Here is a 12922-nt window from a genome sequence, read left to right on the forward strand (position 1 = left end):
TCCAAGGAGGAAGATGTGAGGGCCTTGGGGTTGAGGACACGCGTGTCTGGGAGTTGATGCCTGGCTGTTTTTGGAGGTTATCTGTTGCCTGAGTGTCTGTGGGTATGCGGGTGCACATGTCCATGTTTGTACTAATTTACATATATGTCTATGCATACTGTGGTATAATCACTTGGGTGTCCATACCCAAATTAAGTGTATGTTTGAGTGCATGTACACACCCACATGCCAGTCTCTGTGTGCATATAGATCTATGCCCAGACGCACACATGTGCATATAAACACACGTAGGCATCAAGGTAGACGTCCGTCACATTATGTGTGTGGTCTTCTGTAGACACGCCCGGGGCTCTCTTCCTTTCGCTGCTTCTCAAGGCTGCGGTCAGCCTCCCTCCGTGCTCCACCCAGGAGCCCTGGCCCCGTTTAGGGTTGTGGGAAAAGGAAGGCACGCCAGTGGTCTGCGAGGGGGCCAGTGGAAACATCACCTCCGCCGACCCGGCCGCGGTCACAGCTCTCTGGCTTGGCTCCAGCCACCAGCAGCACCCCTGCAGCCCGGCGTTAGCGCTGAGAAGCCCGGGGCAGCCGCCAGGGCGCGGGCTGCCAGCTCCCTGACAACCCCGGGCTGGCACTCGGGGGCGAGAGAGGTCACCCAGCGACGGGCACACCCCTCCAGAGCAACACCGTCTCCGGCCCGCTTCCGGGGGCCACCAACCCGAGCCTCGCGGGCGGGCTGGGGGGTGGTCTCTGTCGCTTGGGGTCCAGCGAAGGCTGGGCAGTAACCAATGGACGACTGTGGCCCAACGGGGATCCCTCGGATGCAGCCAATGCCCTCGTTGCGCTCTCCGCCCCCGCCCTCGCCTGCCCCGCGCCGCTGGACCATTGGCGCCCGCTGGATGGGGGGTGCGCGCGACGCCTGCCCTTCGGGGAGGGCGGGGCTTGGAGCGGGCTGCGCTCCCGCCCGCGCTCGGCCTCTGCCCCGCCCCCGGACGCGCGGCCCTCAGCCGGCTGCGGCGCGGCGGCGGCGGGAGGGGGCGCGGGGCGCGCGCGTGGGCGTGGCCGGCGGGCGTGGCCGGCGGGCGGCAGGAGGCGGGGCGGCGGGCGCTGTCGCAGTGAAAGCCCGAGCGGCGGCGGCGGCGGGGACGGCGGTGGAGGCGGCCGGGTGGCTGTGCGCGCGTGTGGGGCGCAGGCTCGGCGGCAGCGGCCGGTCTGGAGCGGCCGCTGCGAGGAAGACAGCTGCAGCGGGGGAGGCGCGGCCAGGGCTGCGCGCTCCGCGGAGCCGGCGGGGCCGGGAACAGGTGATCCCAGTGGGAGCCCCGCGCCCTGCCGAGTTCGAGGGGCGGGAGCCCGCGCTCCCGGGCGCATCTGCAGCCGCCCAGCCGCGGCTCCGGACCCAGGCATCCCTGCGCTGTCTGGGGCCCGGGGGAAGCCCCCTGCCCCCGCAGGCTCGGAAGTGCCTGCTCCTGCTCCCTGGCCACTCCGGCTCCCAGCTCCCGGCGCCCTCTCCGCGGCGGAGAAAGTTGTGGACGTGTCCCGATAGTCGAGCCCGGGCGCTGTCGCGACCGGGCCGGGTGTGCGCGCGCTCGGGGCGGCGCTGACACGCCAGCCCCCCATCGCCTCGGTCCCCTCCGGAAACTGCTTCTGAAGCTGAAACTTTGGGCGCCTACCAGCGCGGGCGGGAGCCTAGGGGGCGGAGGGCGGCTTGGTGCGGGCCTGCGGGCGCCCCTCGGCGCGGACAGCCGGGACGCCGCGGACGGCATGTGACGGTCCCGGCGGCCGCAGCGCGGGAAGGCGCGGGCCCCGGCGCGGCGGGGAGGGCTCGGCCGGAGGGGAGGCTGCGGCGCGCGGCCGGTCGCTGCGGGCCCGGGCCCCAAGCCGTGCCGCTCCGCTCGCCCGGGCCCCGCCGAGGCCGCTGCGCCCCCGCCTCCTCGCGGGAGGACTCGCTCCAAACTCCCTGAACTTCGGGGACAGTCCCCCGAAGCGGCGAAACTCTCAGGGTTGGCAACCCTGCCCAGGGACCCCCATCCCGGGCGGCGCTCCGGACGCCCTCCCCTCACCGCGCCCCCGCAGACACGTGCCTGGACTCCGAGGGCTTCTGGAGCCACCGGCCGGGCCACGATGCTCATGAGGAAAGTGCCCGGCTTCGTCCCGGCCTCCCCGTGGGGGCTGCGGCTGCCGCAGAAGTTCCTCTTCCTCCTCTTCCTCTCGGGCCTGGTCACCCTGTGCTTCGGGGCCCTCTTCCTGCTGCCCCACTCCTCTCGCCTCAAGCGCCTCTTCCTGGCCCCCCGGACCCAGCAGCCTGGTCTGGAAGTGGTGGCTGAAATCGCCGGCCATGCCCCGGCCCGCGAGCAGGAGCCGCCTCCCAACCCGGCCCCCGCCGCGCCGGCCCCGGGCGAGGATGACCCCAGCAGCTGGGCCAGTCCCCGCCGCAGGAAAGGGGGGCTGCGGCGCACCCGCCCCACTGGACCCCGCGAGGAGGCCACGGCGGCCCGGGGCAATAGCATCCCGGCCTCCAGGCCCGGGGACGAGGGCGTCCCTTTCCGCTTTGACTTCAACGCATTCCGGAGCCGTCTCCGCCACCCGGTCCTGGGAACGAGGGCCGATGAGAGTCAGGAGCCCCAGAGCCAAGTGCGAGCCCAGCGGGAGAAAATCAAGGAGGTATGGACTCAGCCCCCAAACTCCTCCCACCAACTGCCCCCTCTAAGGAGAGAAGACCCTCTGGCGCTCCCACCCCTTTCCCTTGCCTCAGTCACTCCTGGTCCCAGGTCTACTTCTGGCCCTGCAGACTGCACTTTGCACCTTCCCCTTTCCTCCCAAATGTCCCACCTTCTTTCCTCCCTACACAGTTTCCCACCACTCGGGTCAGTTAATCGTCCCCACCGTGACAGATGGCAGCTGAACCCCTAGACCAACTGCCCCCTCACTCCCAGACTCTGGTATGTCGTATCCAACCCCCAGGCCCAGTGAGCTCCACTCCTTCCCTTTGTGGAGTTGCTAATGAGAGTGGAGTTCAGGTTCCTTAGTGCACCCTCTTTTTGCATTTGTGGACACAGAGCCACTGGTCCCATTCTTTTTCACTGTGTGACCTTAAGTCCAAAACCCCTATAGGACCTGCTTACCTAAAAACCCAGGATTTAAGGGGGTATTTGGTGTCCTGCAAATATTTTGTAATCTAGTAAGCAACCTACAAACCAGAGGATGTTGTGCATTCTGTTTCTATTGAGCTTATTGAGCTTCAGAACAATTGTACACAATTGTACATAATTGCATATGATGCAGGAAGAGATGATAAAGCAGTGGTCATATTACAGAAGCTCCGAGGTTATTGGCATAATGAAGCAGATCTTGAGCTGGTTCCCTGTAGGGATTGTACCAGGAGGGATTTAGAAGGATCACTTTAAGTCTGAGTCTTAGTTTAAGAAATCAAAAGCAAACACAGCCTCACAAGGCTTGAAGACAGTTGCCAGCTTGCCACTGCCACTAAATATTCTGCTGGACCACTGTTAGAACTGCCTGCGTGCGGATGGTGCCCAGCAATGCAGAGGGGGCTGCAGTGACACCCCCAGGCCACGAGGGGGCCGTGGGCAAGCTGTGGGCCAGGGTCTCCTCCCTAGAAACGAGAGGATGCTCTCCCCTCCCCATGGACTCAAAGGAAAGAAAGGGCTGCTTCTGCCTGGACTTCTTGATTTGCTGCGAAGAAGTCAGCAGTTCGACCCTGATTTCCAGGAAGAGCAGGCAGCAAGGATCAGGACCTGCCCTGTCAAGACCTGCTCAGAGCCGATGGAGGGCTTAGCCAGATTATCCCCTTCTCCTTGTCTGAACCATCCTCCCTTCCAGCGCCCACCTCTCTTCCACTTCTTATCTTTTCTGTTACTCTGTTTGGAGACTTAACTAGCAATCACAGGACATTTTGTGAAGTTACAGTAGGAAGCCACAGGGAAACTGAGTGCTTGGTGTGTATGTGTGTGTGCATGTTTGTGTGCTCTCAGTTTCCAGATTCCTGTTGAAATCTCAGGTTGAGTGACAGCTGGAACTTGCAGTAGCTAAGTAAGGGGCATTCATTTCTCCCTTTCTTGTTAAGGAACTACGCTGTTGAATACTCACTTGGACCACCCATAGCTCTTTCTCAAAGCTGCTTCTGAGCACAGTGGCTCTTTTTGCCCCTCTCGACCTCCCAGTAGGGCAGTGACCCCCAGTGAAATTACATATAAATTGCATGCATGCAGTTTTTCATGGGGCATCCAGAGGTGCCATCAGATTTTCAAACTGATCCCCCAAAGGATTAAGAATTAACTATCATCTTCCTCAGAAGAGATACTCTCTGTGTTTGCATTTAGATGGTGGTCCATTTCCGAATGCCAGGGGCTGGAGAGTCATGGCAGGAAGGAAGGGCTGGCTAGTAGGGAACTTGATTCTCCCTCTCTGTGTAAGACAATTTATTTTGCCAGCAGAGTCTGGGATGATGCTTGCTGGAGTGGCTGGAGGGTGGGAAGAGGGGTGAGGATTCTGTGCTTTGCAGGTGGGTATAAAATAACATGATGGGAGAAGGTCTAAGTTGGTGACCAGATGTCTGGATCTTTCTAGCTGGTATCTCCTTGCACCCCTGGTACTAGCTGGAGGCATGCTGCATATACTTGGAGTTGGTGTTCAGCTAGCCCTCTCTTACTAATCTTGAAGAAGAGAGGGCTGGTTTCTGTTGTTTTGAAACCTATTGTCTCTTCAGGCTTCCTGCCACTGACCACGCTCTCACGACAACCTGAAAGATGTAGAGTGGGTTTTGGTTTAGTTGTTAACAGTTACCATTCCTGCTGTCCCACCCCAGGAAGAACGCATATGATGGTTGCTGGAGAATGTCTTTATTTCCTTCACATTTAAATTCTATCTGCGTCATGCCCAGGGGTAGATCATTTTAGAAAGGTGCCTGTTTTCACAAAAGGGACTGTTGCTTTCCTCCCTGGTTTGTTTATTTCCAGACATGGATTGATTAAATCCAAGGAACAGAGGGGGAGCTGGCATCAGATAAAAAAAGGCCCTGTTCTTATAAGATTTTAAAGTGAAAGTAAATATCAGGAGAGAGAGAAGGTGATAAATGAGCATGAATGAAAACTGGACACTTGGACTCTAGATCAATACTGTGCATTCATGAGCATCCCGAGAGATGGACATGGTCACCAGGTCTGTGTTGTTAAGATGGTTGAGGCTGCAGGTTCTGGGCATGCATATGTCAGGAAACACTCTGTCACTAGAACCAACTGTTTTTCCTCACTTTCCAATTTTGGAACCTTGGCAAAAGCAATGTGGTGGAGAGAGGAGACCCACAGAACATGGGTTGGAGTTTCAGCACACTCTCAACTGTCTGACTTTGGGCAACCCACCTCTCCTTCCTGGACCTTCCTGTAAAATGGGGTGAGGGAGAGGAGAATAAGCTGGTTATAGACCCTCTTGCTTCTGGCCCTGGCCCCTAAGTGAACTGGCAGTCTGGTCAGGGACTCCATAGCGGTTGGGCTTTCCGAACTCTGTTTTGAGATATCTTGTACTGGAAATCAGGGACAATGGTGTGGTGGTAGTGGTGGTGTTGATGGGGTCGTGATGTTCACTGCTGTATCTCTGTCTAGCACCTATCCAAGAATAGATATTCAGGCAGTTGGTTAAGTTAATTATTCCCATTACCCTCAGCTTGGAATCACGAAGAGTAAAGGTGTTGGCTGGAATGTAAAGGGGTGAAGGCTTGGTAGTAGCCTTGCCTTTCAGATCTGAGGATAATATAGGAAATGGGGGATGTCATTCATAGGCGGGTTTCTTATGGATTCAAGTTCAAACAGACTTGTCTCACACATGGGAATGTACAGCTTTTCAGGGTTATATCTCAGTGGAAGAATTCAGACTGCTCTGGGTCCTACCCATGATGCTTGGTTGTGTTTTTGTTGTTGTTGTTTTTTTTGTTTGTGTTTGTTTTTTTTTTAAGACGGAGTCTTGCTCTGTCGTCGAGGCTGCAGTGCAGTGGCGTGGTCTTGGCTCACTGCAGCCTCCGCCTCCCAGGTTCCAGGTTCAAGCGATTCTCATGACTCAGCCTCCCAAGTAACTGGGATTCCAGGCGCCCCACCACACCTGGCTAATTTTTGTATTTTTAGTAGAGACGGGGTTTTGCTGTGTTGGCCAGGCTGGTCTCGATCTCCTGACCTCAGGTGATCCACCTGCCTCAGCCTCCCAAAGTGCTGAGATTACAGGCACGAGCCACCGCGCCTGGCCAGTGCTTGGTTGTTGTTCTGGGGAACCTCAGTTCCTTCCAGTGAAGGGGGCTTTTTATAAAAGGGAATTAGGCTGGCTGGGGCACTGAGAACGCGGTACTGGAGTTGGGACTTGCCCTTGCCCATATGGTGTTTTCAAACAAACCACAGAAAGGGCTCCTTCCTCTGGTTAGGTGCAGCACCAGCATCACTCCAGAGTGCAGGGCTGGGTGAGGAGAATGTGGATTGAATTTCCCCACCTTCCCTGTGCTGTTGGCCCAGTGTTCTTACAAACCACTGTATGCTGCAGTTCTGTTAAGAATCCAAGCTGGGTCAAGTCCTAGCTGTTCCATCAACTCTGATTGGAAATTCCTGTTTATTACTGGGCCTCAGTCTTCATGGTAAACCAAGAGGCTGGCATTTAGGGGACCCTTCTCTCTTCTCTTCCACCTCTTTACTGTTTGTTTATGGATCTGCCCAAGCACCTAGAATAGGGTCTGACATTTAGTTGGAACTCACCTACTTTAATGAATGGCTACATTAAAGATCCATAAACTAACAGTTAAGATTGCTAGTGGCTAAGGCTGGGTCTTCTCCCTTAGGGTACCTGGAATTCAAAGGACCCTCACAGTAAGAGCTGTAGTCAGGTTTAGGGGCTTAGCGGCTCAGTGACCCAAGAGGCCTTTTAGAAGTTGCAGCAATTTTCTGAGGGTAAATCTGACTTGAGGGAGTGGAGGTGACACTCGTGAGTAAAATCTCTCATGCCTAGAGAGCAGGCATCGGAGGGTGCCTGTGACTTGGCAGGGAGGGAGCACCCCAGCTCTTGCCCTCTGTGCCTGCTGTGTTCAACCACCAGGGTATTGCTGGTTATGATATGTGACAGTGTCTGAATAAGTCATCTTGGCAAATGATCTTTGCTCCCCATTAACGGGCTGGTTCGTTAGTCATGTGTGATTTTTTTCTGTTTTCTCTGTATATCTGATTTATCGTCACTAGTGCCAGGGACAGGTAGGAAAATTAAAAGGCTTTGTAGCATGTGAATCTGAGCCTGTGAGATGTTCAGGATAATTAATATTAGGAACAGCTCAGATTTAAATAGCTTTCCTTCCAAGAGCTCTGTTTGAGTTGTAAATCCATTCAAGATCCTTTCCCTTCTCCCTGGCCCTTCAGTCTCTTCCGTTTCCCTCTTGTCCTGCTCTACCATGCATTTAACATAGGTGGAGACTGGCCTGTAATAACTGGACAGGCCCCTTGGAAAACCCTTACATCCTCAGCCCAGCCATACGCCTCCTCCTTCCGTAGGACCAAGTGTGCAGTTGAGTAAAGCTTAGCACTTGTCCCTACCAGGTATACAACTTAACTCCCACACGTTGGTTGTGTCTCTGCTTTCATTTCTAGTTGTACCATTTGAGGGAATTAGGCATTCCAGGAGCAATTGCTTCTTAGGCCCCATATTCTTAACTCTGTCTTTAGTGTCAGGGCTAGAAACAAATAGAAGGATGATTTTTAAAAGTCTGCTGCCTATTTCACAGTATAGTTAGTGGTGGTGGGGGGGGGTAAGAATATAGATTCCCCTGTGGTTTTCACAGTGACTGATTTACATCCGAGTTCAAGAAATGCTTTTTCTCTAGCTTTCCCAGAAGACAGATCCATTACTCCACCAAAAATAAATATTGTGATATATATCAGGCATACTTTGCTCAAAGGGACTTACATCTTTTCTCTTATTGAAAAAAATAAATCAGTCTTGCAGATTGTAAAGCCCCTGTGTAGGGAAGCTGCTTGGTAATCCAGGTGAGCACCCAGCCTTGTGGATACTGACGCTGGCTTGGAGAAGAAACCTCTTTTTGCATCCTAAGTTGAATCTGTGTTAGAGGAAGTGTTGGGAGCTTTAGGCTCTCCCTGCGTTGCTTTCAGTGGCAAAATTGGGAAGGATTTCCCAAGGGAATGATGGACGTAGGCTAGTTGCCTCAGGCGAGCTCATGGATTTATGATTACATTTCTTGAAAATAGGGGCCATGCATGGAGCAGGGACAAGTGTCATGAGTCAAGGATTGTTGTCTTTCCGGTTCTGTGCACCTGCAGTCCAAAAAGACCAGGATCATTCAAACAATAAGCCCTGGTTCTTGATTCTCTGCTATTCCTGGGCCAAGCAAGGCCTTTATGCATAAACATTTGCATAATTTGGGGAAAAGAAACAACAAATGTTCTTAGCTCTGTATTGCCATGCAGATGATGGTAAGAAGCCAAACGGGAGACTCCTCAAAGAATTCCAAGGACTCAAGGAACTTAGGCCCCTCCGTCTTCCTCCTCACTCCCCCTTCACTCTGGGGGCTGGTCAGTAGCTCAGACAGCAGGGTTTTGGATGTCCTAAATGTAGAGTTGATGCAACTGAGATTGCTGTTAAGTCAGACCTGCTTTGGTGTCTCCACCCTCAAAGAGAATAGAAGCCACAGAGACCACAGCCTCAGTGTGGGGACTCAGTTGCGGGTGTTTCCTCCCCTAGAAGGCTGTTGCCTAAGATTTGATTGAGAGCTCCCCACACTTGGCAGGCAGGTGGTCAAAACAGTTCTTACTCACAAGGGGGTCTGAATTTCTTAACTTGGAATCTTCTTTAATTAAAGGCTACAACCAGGGCAATTGTCCATCTGTTTTAGTGGTAACTTTTACAGAAGAAACTTTGCTATATTGATTAGTGCCCGCCTTGATAGATGATCAATAATTGTGCTTTTATCTGGCATCTTCTTGGGAGTCAGCTGCTGCCAAGGTGAACCTTCTGGGCAAACAATTGTCACTAAATAGCAACCATTTTCAATGGCCAAATAAAAGGAAGTTTTTCTCTCCTCCTTCCACCTCTGCCATCTTCTTAAGCATCATGCTAAACACAAATCATTCTTGCTGGCCTCGTGGTCGCCATAAAATCCACTGTGCAATGCAGCGATGTCCTGTTGGGGCTGATGGGTTGTATCACTAAGACTGTTTGCTTCCCAATGTTTGTTCTTTGTGATCTCATCTTATTTTTTATACAACAACCTTGTGTTGTAGCTACTATTTAAGTATAATTTATTAATACATATAGCGAAATGCACAGATTTTTTTTTTTTTTTTTTTTTTTTTGAGATGGAGTCTTGCTCTGTCTTCCAGGCTGGAGTGCCGTGGCACAATCTCTGCACACAGCAACCTCTGCCTCCTGGGTTCAAGCAATTCTCCTGCCTCAGCCTCCCGAGTAGCTGGGATTACAGGCACCTGCCACCATGCCCAGCTAATTTTGTATTTTTAGTAGAGATGGGGTTTTGCCATGTTGGCCAGACTGGTCATGAACTCCTAACCTCAGGTGATCCATCCGCCTCAGCCTCCCAAAGTGCTGGGATTACAGGTGTGAGCCGCACCCAGCCAAATGCACAGATCTTAAATATACAGTTTGCTGTATTTTCAGAAATGCAGAAAACCGTGTAGACCACAGTTGTATCATATACAGAACATTTCCATCATCTCAGAAAGTTCCTTTGCTCCTTGCCAGACGATTCCCCCATCATCAACCTCTCACCTAGCCCCTATCACAGTCTTGATTTCTATTAGCTGAGATTAGTTTTGCCTGTTCTAGAACTTCAGAAAAATGGAGTAGTAAGCCAGGTACAATGGCTCATGCTTGTAATTCTAGCACTTTGGGAGGCTGAGGTGGGAGGATCACATGAAGATAGAAGTTCAAGACCAGCTTGGGCAACATAGCAAGACCCTGTCGCTCTCTCTTTCTCTATATATAAAATAATCAGGCGTGGTAGTGTACACCTGTGTTCCCAGCTACTCAGGAGGCTGAGGTGGGTGGATTCATTGAGCCCAGGAGTCTGAAGCTGTAGTGAGTTTTGATCAGGCCACTGCACTCCAGACTGGGTGACAGAGGGAGACCCTGTCTCAAAGAAAAAAAAAGTACAAAATAAGTGGAATAGTACAGTCCATGCCCTGTGGACAAGGCTTCCTTCATTGAAGACAGTTTTTGAAATTGATCCATATTGTGCGTATCAGTACTTCATTCCTTTTTATTGTTGAGATGTATTCCATTGTATGATTATACCCCAATTTGTTTATTCGTTCACCTGTTGGCCTTTTGAGTTGTTCTGGCTATTGTGAATAAAGCTGCTATAAACATTTTATGTACAAGTCTGTGTGTGGGCATATGTTTTCATTTCTTCTGTATAACTAGGGGTGGAATTACTGGCCCATAGAGCAGATGTGTGATTGACTTTATAAGAAACTGGAAGCGCTTTCCCCAAGTAGTTAGACCATTTTATACTCCACCAGCAATATGTGAGAGTTCCGCATCCTTGCCAACACTTGTTATTGTCAGCCTTTTTAGGTTTATAGTGATATTTTGTTGTGGCTTTAATTTTTGTTTCCTTGTTAACTGTTGATATTGAATGTCCTTTTCATGTGTTTATTTGCTATTTCTTTCTTTCTTTCTTTTTTTTTTTTGAGATGGAGTCTTGCTCTGTTGCCCAGGCTGGAGTGCAGTGGCACGATCTCAGCTCACTGCAAGCTCTGCCTCCTGGGTTCACGCCATTCTCCTGCCTCAGCCTTCTGAGTAGCTGGGACTACAGGTGTCCGCCACCACGCCTGGCTCATTTTTTGTATTTTTAGTAGAGATGGGGTTTCACTGTGTTAGCCAGGCTGGTTTCAATCTCCTGACCTCATGATCCGCCTGCCTCGGCCTCCCAAAGTGCTGGGATTACAGGTGTGAGCCACTGCGCCCGGCCGTTTATTTGCTGTTTCTGTATCTCTCTTATAAATGTCTGTTTAAAACTTTTGTTCTTTTTTAATGTCAAAAACTGGTCTATTTACTGTCTTATTGAATTGCAAGAATGCTTCATATATTCTAGATACAAGTTCTTTAACAGATATATGTATTATAAATGTTTGTTCCCAGTCTATGGTTTGTCTTTTCATTTTCTTAATGGTGTCACTCAAAGAGCAGAAGTTTTAATTTTTATAAAGGCCAGTGTATCAGTATTTTCCTTTTGATGAGTGCTTTCTGTATCTAGTTTAAAAAAAACTTTGCCTACCCCAGGTTATGAATATTTTTTAATTCCAGAAGCTTGATCATTTCAGTATTTACATTTAGGTCTTTCATTGACTTCAAGTTAATTTTTGTATATAATGTAAGGTAGGAGTTAAAGTTCACTATTTGCTATTTAGATGTCCAGTTGTTTATCACTATTTGTTGAAAAAAACTTTCCTTTCCCTGCTGAATTGCTTTGATGCCTTCGCTGAACTAATTGACTATATACAATATGGTTTTGTTTCTGGATTTTTCCACTCTAGTGATTTATCTTTTATGTCATTCCATTCTTTTCTCTTCTCTTCTCTTCTCTTCTCTTGTCTTCTCTTCTTCTCTTCTCTTCTCTTTTTCTCGCTTTGTCGCCCAGGCTGGAGTGCGGTGGTGTGATCTCAGCTCACTCCACCTCCCAGATTCAAGCGATCTTCCTGCCTCAGCCTCCCAAGTAGCTGAGACTACAGGCATGAGCCACCACGCCCAACTAATTTTTGTATTTTTAGTAGAGACGGGGTTTTGCCATGTTAGCTAGGCTGGTCTCAAACTCCTGACCTCCAGTGATTTGCCCGCCTCAGCCTCCCAAAGTGCTGGGATTACAGGCGTGAGCCACTGTGCCCAGCCAATCCATGCTTTCTTGATGCTATAGCCTCATAGTAAGTCAGTCTTGAAAACAGGTAGTGTGATTCCTCCATCTTTGATCTTCTTTTTCAAAATTGCTTTGGCCATTGTAGTTCCTTTGCATGTCTGTATACATTTGAGAACAAATTTGTCACTTTCCATGAAAAATCTTGCTGGGAGGCCAGGCATGGTGGCCCACACCTACAATCCCAGCATTTTGGGAGGCCAAGATGGGTGAATCGATTGAGCCCAGGAGTTCCAGACCAGCCTGGGCAACATGGCAAAACCCAATCTCTAAAAAAAAAAAAAAAAAATACAAAAATTATCCAGGCATGATGATGGTGCACACCTATGGTTCCTGCTACTGGAAAAGCTGAGAGGTGGGAGGATCACTTGAGCCAGGAGGTTGAGTCTGCAGTGAGCCATGATTGCAACACTGTACTCCAGCCTGGGTGACAGAGTGAGGCACTGTCTAAAAAACTGAGATTTTGACTGAGTTTGACTTGAATCCATAGATCAAATTGTTATCTTAACAGTATTGGGTCTTTCATTCTATGAATGTGGTATCTGTCTCTATTTATTTAGATTTTCTTTAATTTCTCTCAACAGTGTTTTGAATAGTGTTTATGTTCAAGAGAGCTTTAATGTATTTTATTAACTATCTCTATTTTACTTTTTAAATATTGTAAATGATATTCTTTATTTTTATTTTTAAATATTTTTAAAATTTCATTTATTTTTATTTTTATTTTTGAGAAGGAGTTTCGCTCTTGTTGCCCAGGCTGGAGTTCAATGGCGTGATCTCAGCTCACTGCAAACTCCGCCTCCCGGGTTCAAGCAATTCTCCTGCCTCAGTCTCCCGAGTAGCTGAGATTACAGGTGCATGTCACCATGCCTGGCTAATTTTTGTATTTTTAATAGAGACGGGATTTCACCATGTTGGTCAGGCTGCTCTCGAACTCCTGACCTCAGGTGATCCATCTGCCCCTGCCTCCCAAAGTGCTGGGATTATAGGTGTGAGCCACCACACCCA

At 50.5% G+C, this 12922-nt stretch overlaps 1 protein-coding gene across 5 annotated transcripts in view, besides 5 other annotated features; it reads left to right on the plus strand.

Moving 5' to 3' along the window:
* Nucleotides 375–544: an enhancer, noted in NCBI's record as "active region_460". NCBI's record gives its function as "activates an Ori minimal core promoter by ATAC-STARR-seq in GM12878 lymphoblastoid cells {active_cell/tissue: GM12878}" and the evidence as "EXISTENCE:reporter gene assay evidence [ECO:0000049][PMID:35858748]".
* Nucleotides 735–1024: a silencer, noted in NCBI's record as "silent region_458". NCBI's record gives its function as "represses an Ori minimal core promoter by ATAC-STARR-seq in GM12878 lymphoblastoid cells {active_cell/tissue: GM12878}" and the evidence as "EXISTENCE:reporter gene assay evidence [ECO:0000049][PMID:35858748]".
* Nucleotides 1045–1334: a silencer, noted in NCBI's record as "silent region_459". NCBI's record gives its function as "represses an Ori minimal core promoter by ATAC-STARR-seq in GM12878 lymphoblastoid cells {active_cell/tissue: GM12878}" and the evidence as "EXISTENCE:reporter gene assay evidence [ECO:0000049][PMID:35858748]".
* MAN1C1 (mannosidase alpha class 1C member 1) overlaps nucleotides 1109–12922 on the plus strand; it is a 167660-nt gene continuing 155846 nt past the window's right edge. For all 5 annotated transcript variants that reach the window (NM_001385182.1, NM_001385183.1, NM_020379.4 and 2 more), the window contains exon 1: nucleotides 1109–2655. In NM_001385182.1, coding sequence (NP_001372111.1) covers nucleotides 2116–2655 — 540 coding nt within the window. In that variant the 5' untranslated portion in view covers nucleotides 1109–2115. The remainder of the gene's footprint in view (nucleotides 2656–12922) is intronic.
* Nucleotides 4751–4800: an enhancer, noted in NCBI's record as "active region_461". NCBI's record gives its function as "activates an Ori minimal core promoter by ATAC-STARR-seq in GM12878 lymphoblastoid cells {active_cell/tissue: GM12878}" and the evidence as "EXISTENCE:reporter gene assay evidence [ECO:0000049][PMID:35858748]".
* Nucleotides 5669–6169: an enhancer, noted in NCBI's record as "H3K4me1 hESC enhancer chr1:25947842-25948342 (GRCh37/hg19 assembly coordinates)". NCBI's record gives its function as "activates a minimal SCP1, AML or CMV promoter by ChIP-STARR-seq in naive H9 embryonic stem cells {active_cell/tissue: H9 hESC(naive)}" and the evidence as "EXISTENCE:reporter gene assay evidence [ECO:0000049][PMID:30033119]".

This window comes from Homo sapiens, chromosome 1, assembly GCF_000001405.40.
Source record: "Homo sapiens chromosome 1, GRCh38.p14 Primary Assembly".
Classification (NCBI taxonomy): domain Eukaryota; kingdom Metazoa; phylum Chordata; class Mammalia; order Primates; family Hominidae; genus Homo; species Homo sapiens.